General features: G+C 53.0%; 1 protein-coding gene across 51 annotated transcripts in view, besides 1 other annotated feature; it reads right to left on the bottom strand.

The window, feature by feature from the left end:
- WNK2 (WNK lysine deficient protein kinase 2) overlaps positions 1-14,881 on the bottom strand; it is a 136,431-nt gene that overhangs the window by 65,523 nt on the left and 56,027 nt on the right. For all 51 annotated transcript variants that reach the window (NM_006648.4, XM_047423745.1, XM_047423751.1 and 48 more), the window contains 2 exons: positions 7,213-7,504; positions 1,965-2,164 (listed from right to left, as the gene is read on the bottom strand). In NM_006648.4, coding sequence (NP_006639.3) covers positions 1,965-2,164; positions 7,213-7,504 — 492 coding nt within the window. The remainder of the gene's footprint in view (positions 1-1,964; positions 2,165-7,212; positions 7,505-14,881) is intronic.
- Positions 9,801-10,300: an enhancer, noted in NCBI's record as "H3K4me1 hESC enhancer chr9:96007029-96007528 (GRCh37/hg19 assembly coordinates)". NCBI's record gives its function as "activates a minimal SCP1, AML or CMV promoter by ChIP-STARR-seq in naive H9 embryonic stem cells {active_cell/tissue: H9 hESC(naive)}" and the evidence as "EXISTENCE:reporter gene assay evidence [ECO:0000049][PMID:30033119]".

The raw sequence follows: 14,881 nt of genomic DNA, 5'->3' as shown, positions 1-14,881 counted from the left end.
CACACTGATGCTGAGACCAGCAGCATCACCAAGGCCACAGGAGAGGGACTTGGCCCAGTGGGAGCCCAGGCCAGGAGTGCCTCATGTGGTATCACATGGCATGGGAAGCCCTAACCTAGGCTGAGGAGGGATGAGAGCCAGGCAGAACATTCCAGTCCAGCCTCAGTTCAGCCAATCCTCAAAGCCAAGAACCACCACTCTGGAGCAGCAAGTAGCCTTTTCTTTTCTTTTTTTTTTAAATTTGTTGTAGAGACAGGGTCTTGCTTTTTTGCCCAGGCTGGCCTGGAACTCTTGGGCTCAAGTGATCTTCCTGCCTTCGGCTCCCAAAATGCTAGGATTACAGGCATGAGCCACCACGTTCAGCCTCGCCTTTCCTTAAATGAGTTCTGCTGTTTAAAATTGTATTTCACTTCATTTTGTGAAATGAAGAAAACTGCAAATGCAAATTGCAAATGAGTCCTGGGGCTGCAGTCAGCAAAGGCAGACTCGGCAAACAGCTTCCACTGCTTTTCCAAAGGGCCTTTCTGGACCCTTCCGACTGAGCAGGCCTGGGAAGGCTGGTCCCGCATGCAAGGGTGCAGCAGGGCAGCCAGCAGGACAGAGGAGGCCAGAACAGCCCATGTGCCCACGCTCAGCCGACATCAAGAAGACGGGCCACAGCGCTGAGTGTGCGAGTGACAACCAGCACAGCCAAAGCGCCAGGCAGGAGCTGCTCACGAGGGAAGAAGGAGCTTGGCCCGGAGTACACAGTGGCTGCACCTGTGATGTCCTTGCTTGGGTTTCCTGGCTCACACAGTAGGTGAGAGCCCACCCCATAAACCACCCTCTGAGGCTGGGTGCAGTGACTCACGCTTGTAATCTCAGCACTTTGGGAGGCTGAGGAGGGAGGATCACCTGAGGTCCGGAGTTCGAGACCAGGCTGGCCAACATGGTGAAACCTGGTGTCTACTAAAAACACAAAAATTAGCTGGGCGTGGTGGCGCGTGCCTATAATCCCAGCTACTCAGGAGGCTGAGGCAGAGGAGTCGCTTGAACCCAGGAGGCAGAGGTTACAGTGAGCTGAGATCACGCCACTGCACTCCAGCCTGGGCAACAGAGCAAGACTCCATCTCAAATAAACAAATAAATAAACAAACTACGCTCTGAGGGTACCAATCTACTGCCTGGGGCTCATGGGCAACCCCTCTGTGGCTGGGCACTTGGGACTGCGAGGAGCAATTGTTTTGCTTTCTAAAGTGTTTTTTAAAAATCAAAATAAAAAAATAAGTGCCAAATGTGACCCCACTCATCTTAGTCTTTCCCGTGGGAATCAACCCACACGTGTCGTCACAGCCCGAGGTTCCATCACTCCTTTGCCACACGTGCTCCCTGAAAGTGTTCCCCTCATCCCCGCCCTATTTTCATAGCTCTGACTTTAACCGCTACACAATATCTGGGAGAGAAGTGCCAGGAGCCCCTCAGGAGGCTGGGCAGCTAGATCGAATCTCAGGTTTCCTTCGTACAAATGATGCTTTTCTGTGATCTATGGAACAGTCTGGGATAATGTCCCAGGCCCAGGGCACTGTCAGTGGGTATCATGATTGTGGCTGTGGGTTGTCACCATTATCACTGTGCCCGCTCCCCAGGGGGAACCACTCAGCTCTACCATAGCCTCCCAAATTCTGGGTGCCCTGGGGTCTGTTTTCCAATAGGGTGTCTTTCCTATCTAGTAGGTCTTTACAGGAATGTCAGGGCTACTCGGCCAGCAGTTCCGCAGCTGACAGCAAGGACGGGGCTTTCCTCTGGGCCTGGCTTTTGAATGTCTCCCCAGGGGAAGTGTGGCTGGACACTGACCACAGGCCACTTTTAATGCTGACCACAATGCAGTGCAGCCTGGACAGCCCATCACAGAATTTAGAGCCCTCAGGGCCCTCAGACCAGGTAATGGGGATGGGGAAGGGGGTGGGAGTGATGCTCTGACTCACTGCAGCCGTGGGCTGCTGGTAGGCCCCCAGCGAGGGCAGGCTCTGCGGCAGGACGGGCCCCTCGCTCACAGGGGGGCTGCACACACACTGGGCCGGGGACGGCGCTGCGTCGGCAAGGGAGCCAAGCATCACGCTCTGCTGGCTGCTCTGCGAGTCTGAGTACACGGTAGAGCCCTGGCCGCTGTCGAAGGTGCTGTCCGCTGGGGAGGACAAAAGCAGGACTTAGAGTGGACATCTCCAAATGTCACATGAACAAACATTGGCTCATCTGCATATTTTCTTCTGCAAAATAAAGGCTTGTTTCTCCAGATCACATAAATAACCCGCACATATTGTTTAAACAATTGGCTGCTACAGAACCATACTGGGGATGCTGTCACGGTGCCCCACTCCAACACTGCCCATGTCTGGCCAGCATGATGTCAGGGCGGGTACATCGTGCCAATCCTCCCACAAGGCAGGTACCCACAACCAGCCCGCCGTGGCCTGGGCACCAAGCACACATTCCAGCTCTTAAAGGCACAAGGGACTTGGGAGGCCAAAGGAATGTCTGAGGTAAGAAAAAACTGATGTCTTCACTGTGGAGATAAATATCACCTGTGTTTTATAAGAGGCGAGGGTGTCTCAGCACTCTGACCACCTTCAACACACCATGGCAAAGGGCCCAAACATGTCAAGGTGCCCTCAACACCCGCAGAGAGGCCTTGAGAGGGAAATGCACCCACTATTCCCCTGTGTGGTGGATGCGGTGGCAGGGGTGACACCAAGCGCCCATGGCCTGAGCTCCCCCAGAGGCCTCGCATGGCTCAGGCTGGCCTGGTCCCCATCAAACCCAAACAGACCTGCCTGCTCATGGGGGCACAGACAGGACCCCAGAGCCCACGGGCTTCTCATACTACGGTGTGCCTGGGAACATCTTCAGCCTGTGGGGTCATGCCAGCAGAGGGGAAAACGAAAACCTGTCTGAAATGGTACTTTGGGCTTACTGCTTCCAGATGCCAAAAGCTACAGAAACTTTAGAATTTACCACTTACAAACGCCACACTATTTTCGCGAGGGGCTGCATTTCAGAATACTGTGTCTGTTTATAATTTAAACAAAAGGGAAATCCTGTTGGCTTGGCGTTAAAATAACTTTTCCCAGGAATGGACTGAACCTACTGTAACCTAGGAAGACATAAGAAATGCTGAGGTTTAATTGTGCAAAACCAATCAGACAGGCAGCTCTGATTTTTAATGAGCCGAGTGGTCACATCCACTTAGAGAAGAGAGGGGAGAGGAGGATGGGGAGGAAGGGGAGAACGTGTATAGACCTGACAAGTTTCAAGTAGAGCAATTCTAACCATATGTGTAGCATTTTATTTATTTATTTTTTTGAGACAAGGTCTCACTGTCATCTGGACTGGAGTGCAGTGGTGTGATCACGGCTCACTACAGCCTTGACCTCCCAGGCTCAAGCAATTCTCCTGCTTCAGCCTCCTGAGTAGCTAGAACTACAGGCATACACCACCACACCTGGCTAATTTTTCTATCTTTTGTAGAGATGAGGTTTCGCCACGTTGCCCAGACTGGTCTCGAACCCCTGGGCTCAAGTGACCCACGCACCTTTGACTCCCAAAAGGAGCCACCATGCCCGGCCCACATTTTACATATTTAAAGTGAATATGTGCCGGGCATGGTGGCTCATGCCTGTAATCCCAGCATTTTGGGAGGCTGAGGCAGGCAGATCACGAGGTCAGGGGTTTGAGACCAGCCTGGCCAACATAGTGAAACCCCACCTCTACTAAAAATACGAAAAAAATCAGCTGGGCATGGTGGCACACACCTGTAGTCCCAGCTACTCAGGAGGCTGAGGCAGGAGAATAGCTTGAACCCAGGAGATGGTGGTTGCAGTGAGCCAAGATCCTGCCACTGCACTCCAGCCTGGGTGACAGAGCGAGACCCTGTCTCAAAAAATAATAAAAAAATTTTTAAAAATTAAAAATAAAGTGAATATGGGCCAGGCACAGTGGCTCATGCCTGTAATCCCAGCACCTTGAGAGGCTGAGGCGGGCAGATAACTTGAGGTCAGGAGTTCAAGGCCAACCCTGGCCAGCAGGGCAAAACCCCGTCTCTACTAAAAATACAAAAATTAGCCAAGGCATGGTGGCACATGCCTGTAATCCCAGCTACTAGGGAGGCTGATGCAGAAGAATCACTTGAACCTGGGAGGCAGAGGTTGCAGTGAGCCGAGATTGCGCCACCACACTCCAGACTGGGTGACAGAGCGAGACTCCGTCTCAAAAAAAAAAAAAAAAAAAAGTGAATGAGTTCATTAATTACACAATTAAACATTTTAGAAGACATTTTTGAAACTATTGGTAAATGTGCTACTACAGTCACCAGCTGCTTAAATAGAGTCACCAAGGAAGCCCCCGCTTGGTCAGGACACTTGGTGGGCAGTTTAAGAAAACACAACAAGGGAAAACCATAAAAACTGACATACTGTTGCATCTTCCAATACAATAATGTGTGTCTGTTTGCCAATCTTGTTACACAGACCAGGTTCTTCTTGGATTATGGGGTTCCTGCTCTTACCCAGCATATCCCAGAGCAAGGTGCAGAAGGCTATGCGGGGTGCTATCCATTATGAAACAGAAGGGGATAAGGGTGTACATGTGTGCACACATGTGGATGTCAGTGTGCATGTGCATATTCATGTATGAATGCAGACATGTGTGCATGTATGTGTGCAGGTGAATGTGTTCACATTTGTGGGGGTGTTCACATGTGTACATATGTGTCCATTTGCATGCAGGCTGGGCGTGCCTGTGTACACACACGTGGGGCATGCATGTCTGTGTGCAGGTGTTCACGTGTGGTAGCCATGTGTATGTGCATGTGTAGATGTGCCTATGTATTTGTGTGTGTGTTCTATGTGTGCCTATGGGTGTTCTATGTGTGTGGTAGGCTACATGTTTTATTATTGTTTTGTATTATTATTTTTGTATTAAAATACAAAAATTAGCTGGGCGTGGTGGCACATGCCTATAGTCCCAGCTACTCAGGAGGCTGAAGCAGAAGAATCACTTGAACCCAGGAGGCAGAGGTTGCAGGGAGCCAACATCGCACCAGTGCACTCCAGCCTGGAGACAGAGCGAGACTGTCTTTAAAAAAAAAAAAAAAAAAAAAAAAAATTGGTAGCATCTGTTGCCTCTAGGGAGGACAATGAAGTGATTTGCTACCTCCCGGCCTTTTTGAATTTGACACCATGTGGCTATATTACCTACTTTAAAGAAACCGCAATGAACAAGTAAAAGTGTTTTTGAGGGGCTGGTTGCGGTGGCTCACACCTGTAATCCCAGCACTTTCAGAGGCTGAGGCGGGCGGATCACGAGGTCAGGAGATTGAGACCATCCTGGCTAACACGGTGAAACCCTGTCTCTACTAAAAATACAAAAAAATTAGCTGGGCGTGATAGCAGGTGCCTGTAATCCCAGCTACTCAAGGGGCTGAGGCAGGAGAATGGCATGAACCTGGTAGGCGGAGCTTGCAGTGAGCCGAGATCGCGCCACTGCACTCCAGCCTGGGCAACAGAGCAAGACTCCGTCTCAAAAAAAACAACAAAAAAAGTGTTTTTGAGAAGCATGGCCATGGCCTCTGCACAAAGCACACAGAATCCTCAGTTGGTCTGGAAGTGGGCCTGTCTGCAGAGAGAACACCCACACCTGAATTGCAATCATCAGTCAGTCGATGTCTCCATCTGATTTTCCCACAGTGGATCAAACCTGAATTATATTATCTGACCACAAGCTAAACATATAGAAATATCCTCAAACTATGTCTTTTCAAAGTTTGAAAAAAGGAGATTTTTAAACTCCCATCCTAGGAATTATTTAACCCACAATTACGATTTAAAAGTGCGTAGTGCTGTGTCAGATGTGAAGAATTTCTTCTTACAAAAAGTCTGTGCTCTTTAATTTTTTAGATGTATCAGAAAATGGAGCAATAATGTACCAATTTTATTCTCCAAAGCAAATCTGCGCAGGTTCGAGTGACATAAATAGTAGGCAAACCATCTCAACATGATGACTGCTTGTTTGAATTTAAATAGCCTACTTTAAAGAACTAGCCATTTCAATGATAAATGAAGGATGTGCATATTAAATAAATTAAACAGACTATTTCAGTCTTTGCACATGAATGATCTGAAATATTGGCCCGGGCAGGTCCCTTGGCTCTGTCATTCTATCCCATGCATATTCACAGAATGAACAATGCCATGTTCCTCAGTCCTCAGCTCACTGCTGAATTCTTAGGATGTTGAGGGCACAGACAGAAACTTTTCTGCCTGTATGTGCAGAAGATACTAGGTTTTCCCTAAATGGTCTTAGATGAAACCTGATCCAAAGTGATTCCTGCCAATTCATCAGTAACACCCTACTGAAAATGTACAAAAGGTCCCAAAGGTTCTGCCTTAGAAGGGAGATACTACGGGGGATGGGAGGTCCCCACGGCAACACCACAAGCCAAGCCAGCAAGCAGCACACTCTGTTCCTAGGACAGATGTCCCACCAAGCAGCCACTGCCACCACCTCACCTGGCCTTCACATTCCCCCCAAGGGGCCAGAACTGTCATTCTCAGACAGGTTAAGGAACCTGCCCTAAATCCACAGATCCATAGCACAGAGTGGGACTGAACTGGCTCCACCAGACCCTGCTGGCTCACGGCCCATTTGTCCCCATCTGTCCTGAGAACATGAACTTCATTGAGCCTTAATCTCCTGGTTACAGATCACCGGGAAATGCTGAGAAAGCCCCAATCCCTTCACTGAAACAAGGCTCACCCATACCTAGGGTCCACACCCTGCATGGTGGGCTGGGGGGACAGGGCCCAGGCTGGTCACAGAATCAGGCCCTGCACATCCCAGTGCTTGGGTCTGCTGGCCCCACCACCCTGGAAGTTGCTCTCTTATGAAGTTCCCGACATGCCCTGGCACCAAAGGTGCTGGCAGAAGGCGAGCCTGTCACGGGGCATAGGTGCCCAGCCAGGACTCCCGGAAACTACCTACAGCTAAAGCAATCACCCACGCTACGTGAGGACAGCTCAGAGCTACACGATGTCTCCTCCGAGGGGATGCCATGCGGACCCCCTTCCTCACAAAGCATTCCAATAAAGGGAGAGGACTTCATTTTTCTTTGCCCAATAGCTGGTTTTTGCAGGGTAGGTGGGAGGGGTGCCCATGGCCATCCCACCCCTGAGCACTCACAGGCCAGGGAGGTGGCGCTGGTCGGCAACGTAGGTGGCAGGAGGTGCTGGTCGGCCTCCGGCTCCTCGGGCTCTGGTGGCCCGGGCTGCCCAGCCTGTGCATGGTAGGTCACCTGGACCTGCAGGGGCACCGGCGGACCCCTGGCCTTGTCCGGGCTGCCCACATCCTGCTGCTCCTTGGGCTGCAGCGCGGGCCAGATCCTCTCCCGCCGCCACTGGATCAAGGCCACGCGGTCACGGATGGACTTGGCCACGATCTTGACGTCACTCTCGTGGAAGAATCCAGACTCAATCTGTAAAGGCAGTCATGTTGTCAGCATCGCTGGGGATCAGCCCTCACCGGCCCACACCCCTTACCTAAAGTGCTTTCCCATCACTGGCTCATCCACGCAGGACACGCTCGCCATCCCACTGCCACTGAATGTAAAATCCGCGGGGACAGCTCAGAGATGGCATGGCAGGGGTTTGCCAGGCAAGGCAAAGAAAGACCACCACCACGCAGGCCTGACCTGCATCCCGCAGAGTCCACAGCAAGAGCAAAGCAGACCAGCCCCTCAACCGGACCCAAGGGCTCCCTGAGCTCCCAGCGCCCCCGGGGCTGGTGGCAGACGGGAAGGGGCTCCTGATTGTCTCCATACTCAGAAGTGGTGACAAGGAGCTTTGGAGCTAGCATTTTCCTGAAACGTCTCTGAGTCTGGGGCTGCCCAAAGATGGGGAACGGGGCCACACCCGAGTTGCAGATGGAGGAAGGACATGCGTTTTGTAATTAGGGACCAGTAAGGTATGCACTGATGCCTGGCAAATTTTAAAACTGATTTACCAAGCACAGCCTTGAGAGCATTTGTAAGAGAGCCCGAAGGTCTCCAGGAAACATCATGAGCTCGCCAAGAATATTCACGGAATAACTACCTTCTTTCTTCTGATAAAAGAGATCCCTTTTGAAGGGGCTGCTCTTGCTAGGCTGCAGTTGTAGTGACCACAAACACATGAAAACATGGGAGAACAAAGATTCCAGATCCACCCGCACTTCCCCTCCCTTCCTGAGCACCTCAGTCCTAAAGGCTCTAGGTCAGGCTGGACCAGCCAGGCCTCTGCAGTAGGGCGGAGGTGCCCGTGCAAGAGGGCATCCTGGCTTCGGGGCAGTGCCAGGCACAGAGGGAGTCATAGCTATCGGGGAGGGGAGGTGGTGACAGCACCAATGGAGGCTGGCGACCCCACAAAAGTGACCAAACAAGAAAATATATTAGGGATAGTGGACGCCAGGCTCCTCAGGTGTGGAGAGGCAGAAATTTTCAACAGGAACCTTTTTGCTGGGTGGGAATTGGAGCTGTTGGTGTGAAGCGCACAACAGAAGTGAATAAACACAGACAGACTGCACAGGCAGGCTCCCGACACCTTCGCGGTGTAAATGCACAGACACATGCGTACTTGTGAACTGAGTTCACCAGGAGGGCCTGGGAGCAACAACACCCACAGCAAGGAGCATGCAGAGCTCGGCCAGGACAGGAATGCAGCGCGGCTCTAAGAGGCGGCAGCTCAAGGCTGGGCAGGAGAAGGACAGGATGAGCTTGACAGTGAGGACGTGCTCAGAGTGACAGGGACGTGCAAAACGGCACGGGAGCCAGTGCTGAGGGCCTCCCGCTGGCAAATCTGGGGCATTTTGAGCATCAAAATGAACAGTAACACAATGATGGTTTGAAGGACATGTCCACAGACTCTGACATGCATTTTGCATATGGGGGTGGCAGGAGGGGTGAAGTGTCACTGCTGGTATCAGGTGGGGGGCGGCAGGTAGGTGTGGCCTCTCTATCCCCATCTCTCCCTCCGTTTCTCCTCTGTGGCTCCCTCACCCAGTCTCTTTGCCTCCCTTTCCTGTGGATCATCTGCTCTAGGGGAAGCCATGTCACAAATGACCCTATGCAGAGGCCCTCCTGGCAGGGAACTGAGTTCTGAGGCAGGGTCTGAGACTGCAGCCCAGGCCAACACCTGATCCCATCTCACTAGGGCCCTGAGCCAAGGCACCTGATCCCTGACCTCTAAGGCTGGAGCCAGGGCATTTCAAGTGACTCACTAGGCAGCAATGGGACAGTTCATCTGTGGAGCAGGACCCATTGAGTAAAACAGAAAACCATGAGGCCACAGAGAGATAAAGAAATAAGTGAGAAGATTGGTGACAAACAAGATATTTACAGTGTCCAAACATTCTCCATGAGACACGTACAGTTGCAAAAGGTGAGAGGAGCTCAACTTAGAGAAGCCACAGGCGCCGTGCACCAAGCTCAGAGCCAGCATCTGCCTAACTGGCGGGTGAAGCTGTGCACCCCGGGGAAACACATGCAAACTCAGCCCCTTCCATGAGATTCCTGTGGAGATGCAAGACCTGACTGTGACCCACCCACAGAGGGCCACCTGAGCCCGTCCCGAGGGACAGGACATGGAAGTCAGGCGAGGAAAGGGGCCCAGAGGACTTGTGATGGTGTCACTGGGACAACTGGGGACCTGAGTGGCCCGAGGATAGGAGGATGGGCCTGAGGATTGACGGTATTTCCGGATGCAAGAAAGTGCCCTAGTTTCAGGAAGCAGACACGAAAGTATTCAGGGCTTCAGGGGAATCAGGTCAGCCACTTAGTCTCAAATGGTTCGTGGAAAATAAATGGTTCTTTGTAGTGTCCTTGCAATTTTTCAGTAAGTTTGTGATTATTCAAAAGTCTTTGTTTCAAAAGACAATTTTTTTCCACAGAATGATGTTCCCTAACAGAAACAGCCCTGGTCAGTCTCCCCTGATTCAGAAGAGACATAAGTGGGGCGGGGGAGGGGGGACCAGTGAGGTGGGACAGAAGCTTACGGCTCAGTCAGTGGGACCCGTCTACACTCAGGGTTGCCGCTGGCCCCAAACCAGCCCCAAGGCCACTCAGCAGCAGGGCAGCCCAGCTGGGAAGGAGGAGAAACCAGGCACCAGGTTCCCTTCTGGCTCAGAGTCCAGAGCAGACTTTTTTCTAGGGAGCCTCAGAGAACGGGCTCCAACCCTAGGGGGTCTCACAGGGAGGCCGAGGCAGGTGTCCCTGTCACTGGCACCTGGGCGCAGGTATGCACAGCCAGCCAGACCTGCTTGGCCCGGGCCTCTGCTCCTAGTGAGCATGTGGGTGAGGCCATTCCTAAGGCTCCACGTGGCCTCGGGGTCATATCCAGGGCGTGGCCCCACCCTTGCCCACCTCGGCCCAGATACGTGACCAGAGGCTGCCAAGGCCACGTCCTCCTGCTGCCATTACTATTTGCTGCTGGCGCCACAGCCCGCAGCCCATTTTCCCTTGAGACTGTCTTCATCATCACCCCCAGCCTTCCTCTCTAAAGTGTTTCTTCTATTTTTTTTCCCAAACAGGAAAACATTTAGCCATGGTGAGTGCCACACAGGCGCATTGCATTATCAGGAGAGTATGAAGGTGGAGGGGAGGGCTGGCTGGGAATCCCCTTGGGGGTCGACTCCCAGAGTCCCTTCCAGATTGAAGCTGGCCCAGGCCCCACAGAGCCCGCTATTTCATCTCTGTCTCTCTCTGGGGAGCTCCATCTGGCCTCTTCCATCTGCCGAGTGGAACTTGCTGAGAGGTGACTTCAGGGGAAGGAGAGCTCTGCCACATCTGCATTCTCTCCCACCCTCGGGGTCCTTCCAGAAAGAGGTCTCATCTGGATTCCAGAACACCTCTAAGACCTAACATCTGCTAATCTCAGGGACTTTTGTTTGTTTGAGACAGGGTCTCGCTCTGCCACCCAGGCTGGAAATCATGCAGCAGGATACAGCTCACAGCAAAGGCCTCCTAAGCTCAAGCAATCCTCCTGCCTTGGCCTCCCAAAGTGCTGGGATGACAGGCATGAGTGACTGCACCCGGCCTAATCTCAGATTTTAGGAAGAAGAGCAGCCTCAGAGCCAGGTGCTAGTGTCTCTCTAGCCTCAGCAGATGCACCAACATCAAGCTGTTTTCATTGCATCACGGCGAAGCCCCTCCAGTCTAGGGTCCATGGCAGGGCTGTTGTCAGGACCCCAGGGAGGCCAGTGACGGACTCTGGTGTCTGAAGCGGGTGGGAAGGAGGAGTGTGAGGTTAGAACCTGGAAAGGCCCCATAGGGACCCAGCGTCAACCTGCCGGGGCACACAAGCTGTTCCCGGGGAGTGAGCCCCAAGGTAGGAGTATGTTGCTTCCAGCTGCTGCCAGGCGGCTCTTGAGGTCCTGCCTTCCCTGTTCTTAGCAGAGTGGGGCGGGTGCTGTTTATTGTTGTGCTTTAGCTGAGCACAGGTCATGTCCCTTCTTCTTGGATGCTCTATTTCACGGGTGATGTGTCTCACAATGAAAAAAATGCAAAAGATGCAGAAGCGGGGGTGAAGGTGCTCGGGCCAAGGGGCCTCTGCTGTGAACTGATGCAGGAACACAGCCGCAGAGTTCAGCCAACTGCCAGGGACGGGGACTTGTGTGGTGATGGGCACAGGAGGCTGTAGGTTGAAGGGACAGCTGCATCCACAATGACCCTGCAGGAGGGCGGGGGCAGGGAGGCCAAGTCTCCGTGTGGATGAAAAGCAGGGAGGAGTCGCAGTCTTGGGAGGCTCCTCCAACTTGCCTGTCTTCGGAGCAGCTAGAAAGGCCCAGGGCAGGTTCTGGGCTTTGCCACCTTAGGACAGAACCCAAGACAGGCAAGGAGCCCACGAGGTCTGGTGGAGGCAGCAACACTGCTCTTGTAGAATCCTGGGGCCCTCCCCAGGCTGCACCACCCATGTTGGAATCAGTGCTGAGAGGGCTCTGATGTCCCCTCTGCCGCTCAGCCGTCGCTGTAGCACTTGGCCTCCTGACACAGCTCCCTGGTCCCTCGTACCCTGTCCCCCCAGCACTGACCAAGCATAACCACATTCATGGAAGGAACAAGAGCGCCTCATTCTCCTGCCCTTCCTGAGGCTGTCACCACATCAAAACCAGGTCATCCAAATGTCCTCCTATCCTTGCCCTTGGCCCAGACCTCAGCACCAGGATAGAGGTAACTCCCTGCAAGGTCAGAGCCAGCACAGCTGCCCCAGGACCTTCCTCATCCTCATTTGTGCGTGAGACTCCCACAGGTCATCCTCATCCTCCCTCGAGGCCATCTTCTGTCCTCTCAAAACCTCAGCCATCCCACTGAGCGGCCAGCCAGGTGCCTCCAGAGAGATGTTCTTGGCCTGCAGCCACCATCCCAATCCTCAGCTTACACGCTGTACATAGCCTATGCAGCATCTCACTCGGCACTTGCTATTTGCAATGAATGTGTGAACGGACAGCTGTATTACATCGGCAGAGAAATGGTGCACCTGAAGTCACAGGACAGATGTGCTGGTAATTATCTGAATGTAATTCACAGCAAACTTGTAGCAATTCAATTTGAAAAAATGTACCTCTGTGCACCACATGGTCATGGAGAGCAAGGAAAGATCCTCCAGGAAGCACAGAGCTCATCAACCCCATTAGATCTGCTCATAGCAGAGGCTTCTGTGTCTGGGTCAGGGATGTGAGCAGAGACAAGCCAGATGAGAATGGGCCAGGTGGGGACACAGGTGGCCACTTTGCAGCATCTGCGGTGATAGTGCAGCCAGCTTGCAGGAGCCCCACAGAGAAGCCAGCCTGGGCGCCACCCCACAGTGGGAGCTGTAGCCATCCTCACTGTGCTATCACAGCCCAGGACATGGGCCACTGTGCAGGGGAAGGCAGAGCCCTGGCCCAAGGCACTGGCAGCCTGAGGAGGTGTCTCCTCCAGTCCAAGTCCCAGTCACTGAGGCCCTGCACTCAGGTCCACACCAGGAACACCCCATCCTACAGCTGTGGTGAGGTTAGGAGCAGCAGGAAGCGTGCCAAGACCCCAGCAGGACCTTAGCTCAAGTAGCCCAAAGTCCTCAGCCACACAGCCAGCCCCAGGAGCAGTCCAGTTCCACCTGCTTCCTTCCTCAGGGGTCGCGGCTGCAGGAAGTCCAGCTGAGAGACTGCTGCTCCCTGCACTGACCTCACGGCGTAACCTACACCATGTGGCCCACTGAATCCCTCATGTACCACATACCAGTGCCCCCATGGACAAGGAGCTGCCAGGAGGAGCAGAGTCTGTGACAAACACGCAGCTCACTGGCACCCCAGCATTCCTGGCTCCAAGGGCCCAAGCACCTTCCATGGTATCACCAAGCCTCAGTTTCCACACCCGAGTCAGACCTCCGCAGGAACCTTCCAGAGCAGCCGCCCCTCCCACCTCTCTGCAACCCCCTCCACTTCTTTTTACTGAGACCCAGCCCGGCCTGGAGAAGTGAAGCTTGGGAAGAATCATCAGCCTGGAACTGGTGACTGATGGACATTTTCAACAGACGTGATGTATTCAGTAAAAAGCTTATTCAAAAGAAAGAAAAAACAGCGAGCACCTCTGTGGTCAGGACACATGAGCCGAGGGCTATCATGAGCACACCGGATTTATTTCTGCTCAGGTGTTCACTGCAAATGCGCAACTTTCTTACCATGCAATACTAACTGCCTTCTTCCTAGCCTCTCGTTCCCACTGGTCTTCCCCGTTGTGACTTTGTTTTCACCTGTTCCGGTGCAGACATTCCTGTCCTTCGTATCAAGTTGTCTGACTTAATGTCAACGTTTGTTCATGTTTTGTAACCAACAACAAAGACGTCTCTGTCTGTCTCTAGGCCCTGCACTAGGGTTCTCAGGCAGCAGTGTTGGCCCTGGGGCCCTCCCAGGCCAGGTTCCCACCACTGTCCCTCTCTGGCGTCCACTGCCCAATGCCCAGCAAACATGCCCTATCCCTGCAGGGGTGTGACCAAAGTCTGCTTGTCCAAGAACTTCTAACAGCCCCCGGCCCAGGGCAGCAGTGCCCCACAGAACATTCCAGGCCAGAAACGTCCTGCATTGTTCAAGACAAGAACCACTAACCACACTTGGCACAGAGCACTTGAAATGTGGCCAGTAGGACTGAGAAAGTGGATTTTAAATTTTAATTAATTTATATTTTAATAGCACATGTGGGCAGTGGCGATTTTACTGGATGGCACAGACCTGAGAATCAAGTCAGAATAATCTAGATCTGTCCCACCTGCTGCACCTGTCCCCACATCCCACACAATTCCCATTCCACCGCTGACCCCCTGGCATCGTCAGCGTGGCCTCTCCTCCTACCACTGCACCTGGACCACTCCCACTCCTTTCTGCCTGTGCCTGTGGCCCTGTCTCTTCTGCCTCTCATTCCAGTCGGCTCAGCGCCCCCTCCAATGAGGCCTCGATGACACCCCAGCACAAAGCGGCACTTCTGCTGCCAGCCCCAACCCACTCCTCATCCACAGAGCTGAAGATGATGAGAGGAGCAGGAGGAAGAGAAGAGGCGGAAAGGTACCCCCAACCCGCCTTTCTAGGTGGAAAAGTCCCAAGTCCCAGAAACCCAATGTAACAGTGCTCCCAAACAAAAGGAAAGGCGAAGATCCCAAACCCAAAGCCACCACACTGACACAAAGTCAGCAAGAGTCCGGCAAAGCAAGCGAGGCCTTTCTGACAAGTCAGAGGTCCTGGGTTGCTCTCTGCACACCCACCCTGAATTCCCGCACTGCACTGGCTCGGAGCTGCTAATCCCCTGGGTGCTGTGTTTTTGAGGGGACTCCCACTTAGGCCACCCCTGTGC

The sequence above is a fragment of the Homo sapiens genome, chromosome 9 (genome assembly GCF_000001405.40).
Source record: "Homo sapiens chromosome 9, GRCh38.p14 Primary Assembly".
In the NCBI taxonomy this organism is placed as follows: Eukaryota; Metazoa; Chordata; class Mammalia; order Primates; family Hominidae; genus Homo; species Homo sapiens.
The sequence above is the reverse complement of the archived record's forward strand: the minus strand, read 5'-3'. Positions and strand labels throughout refer to the sequence as shown.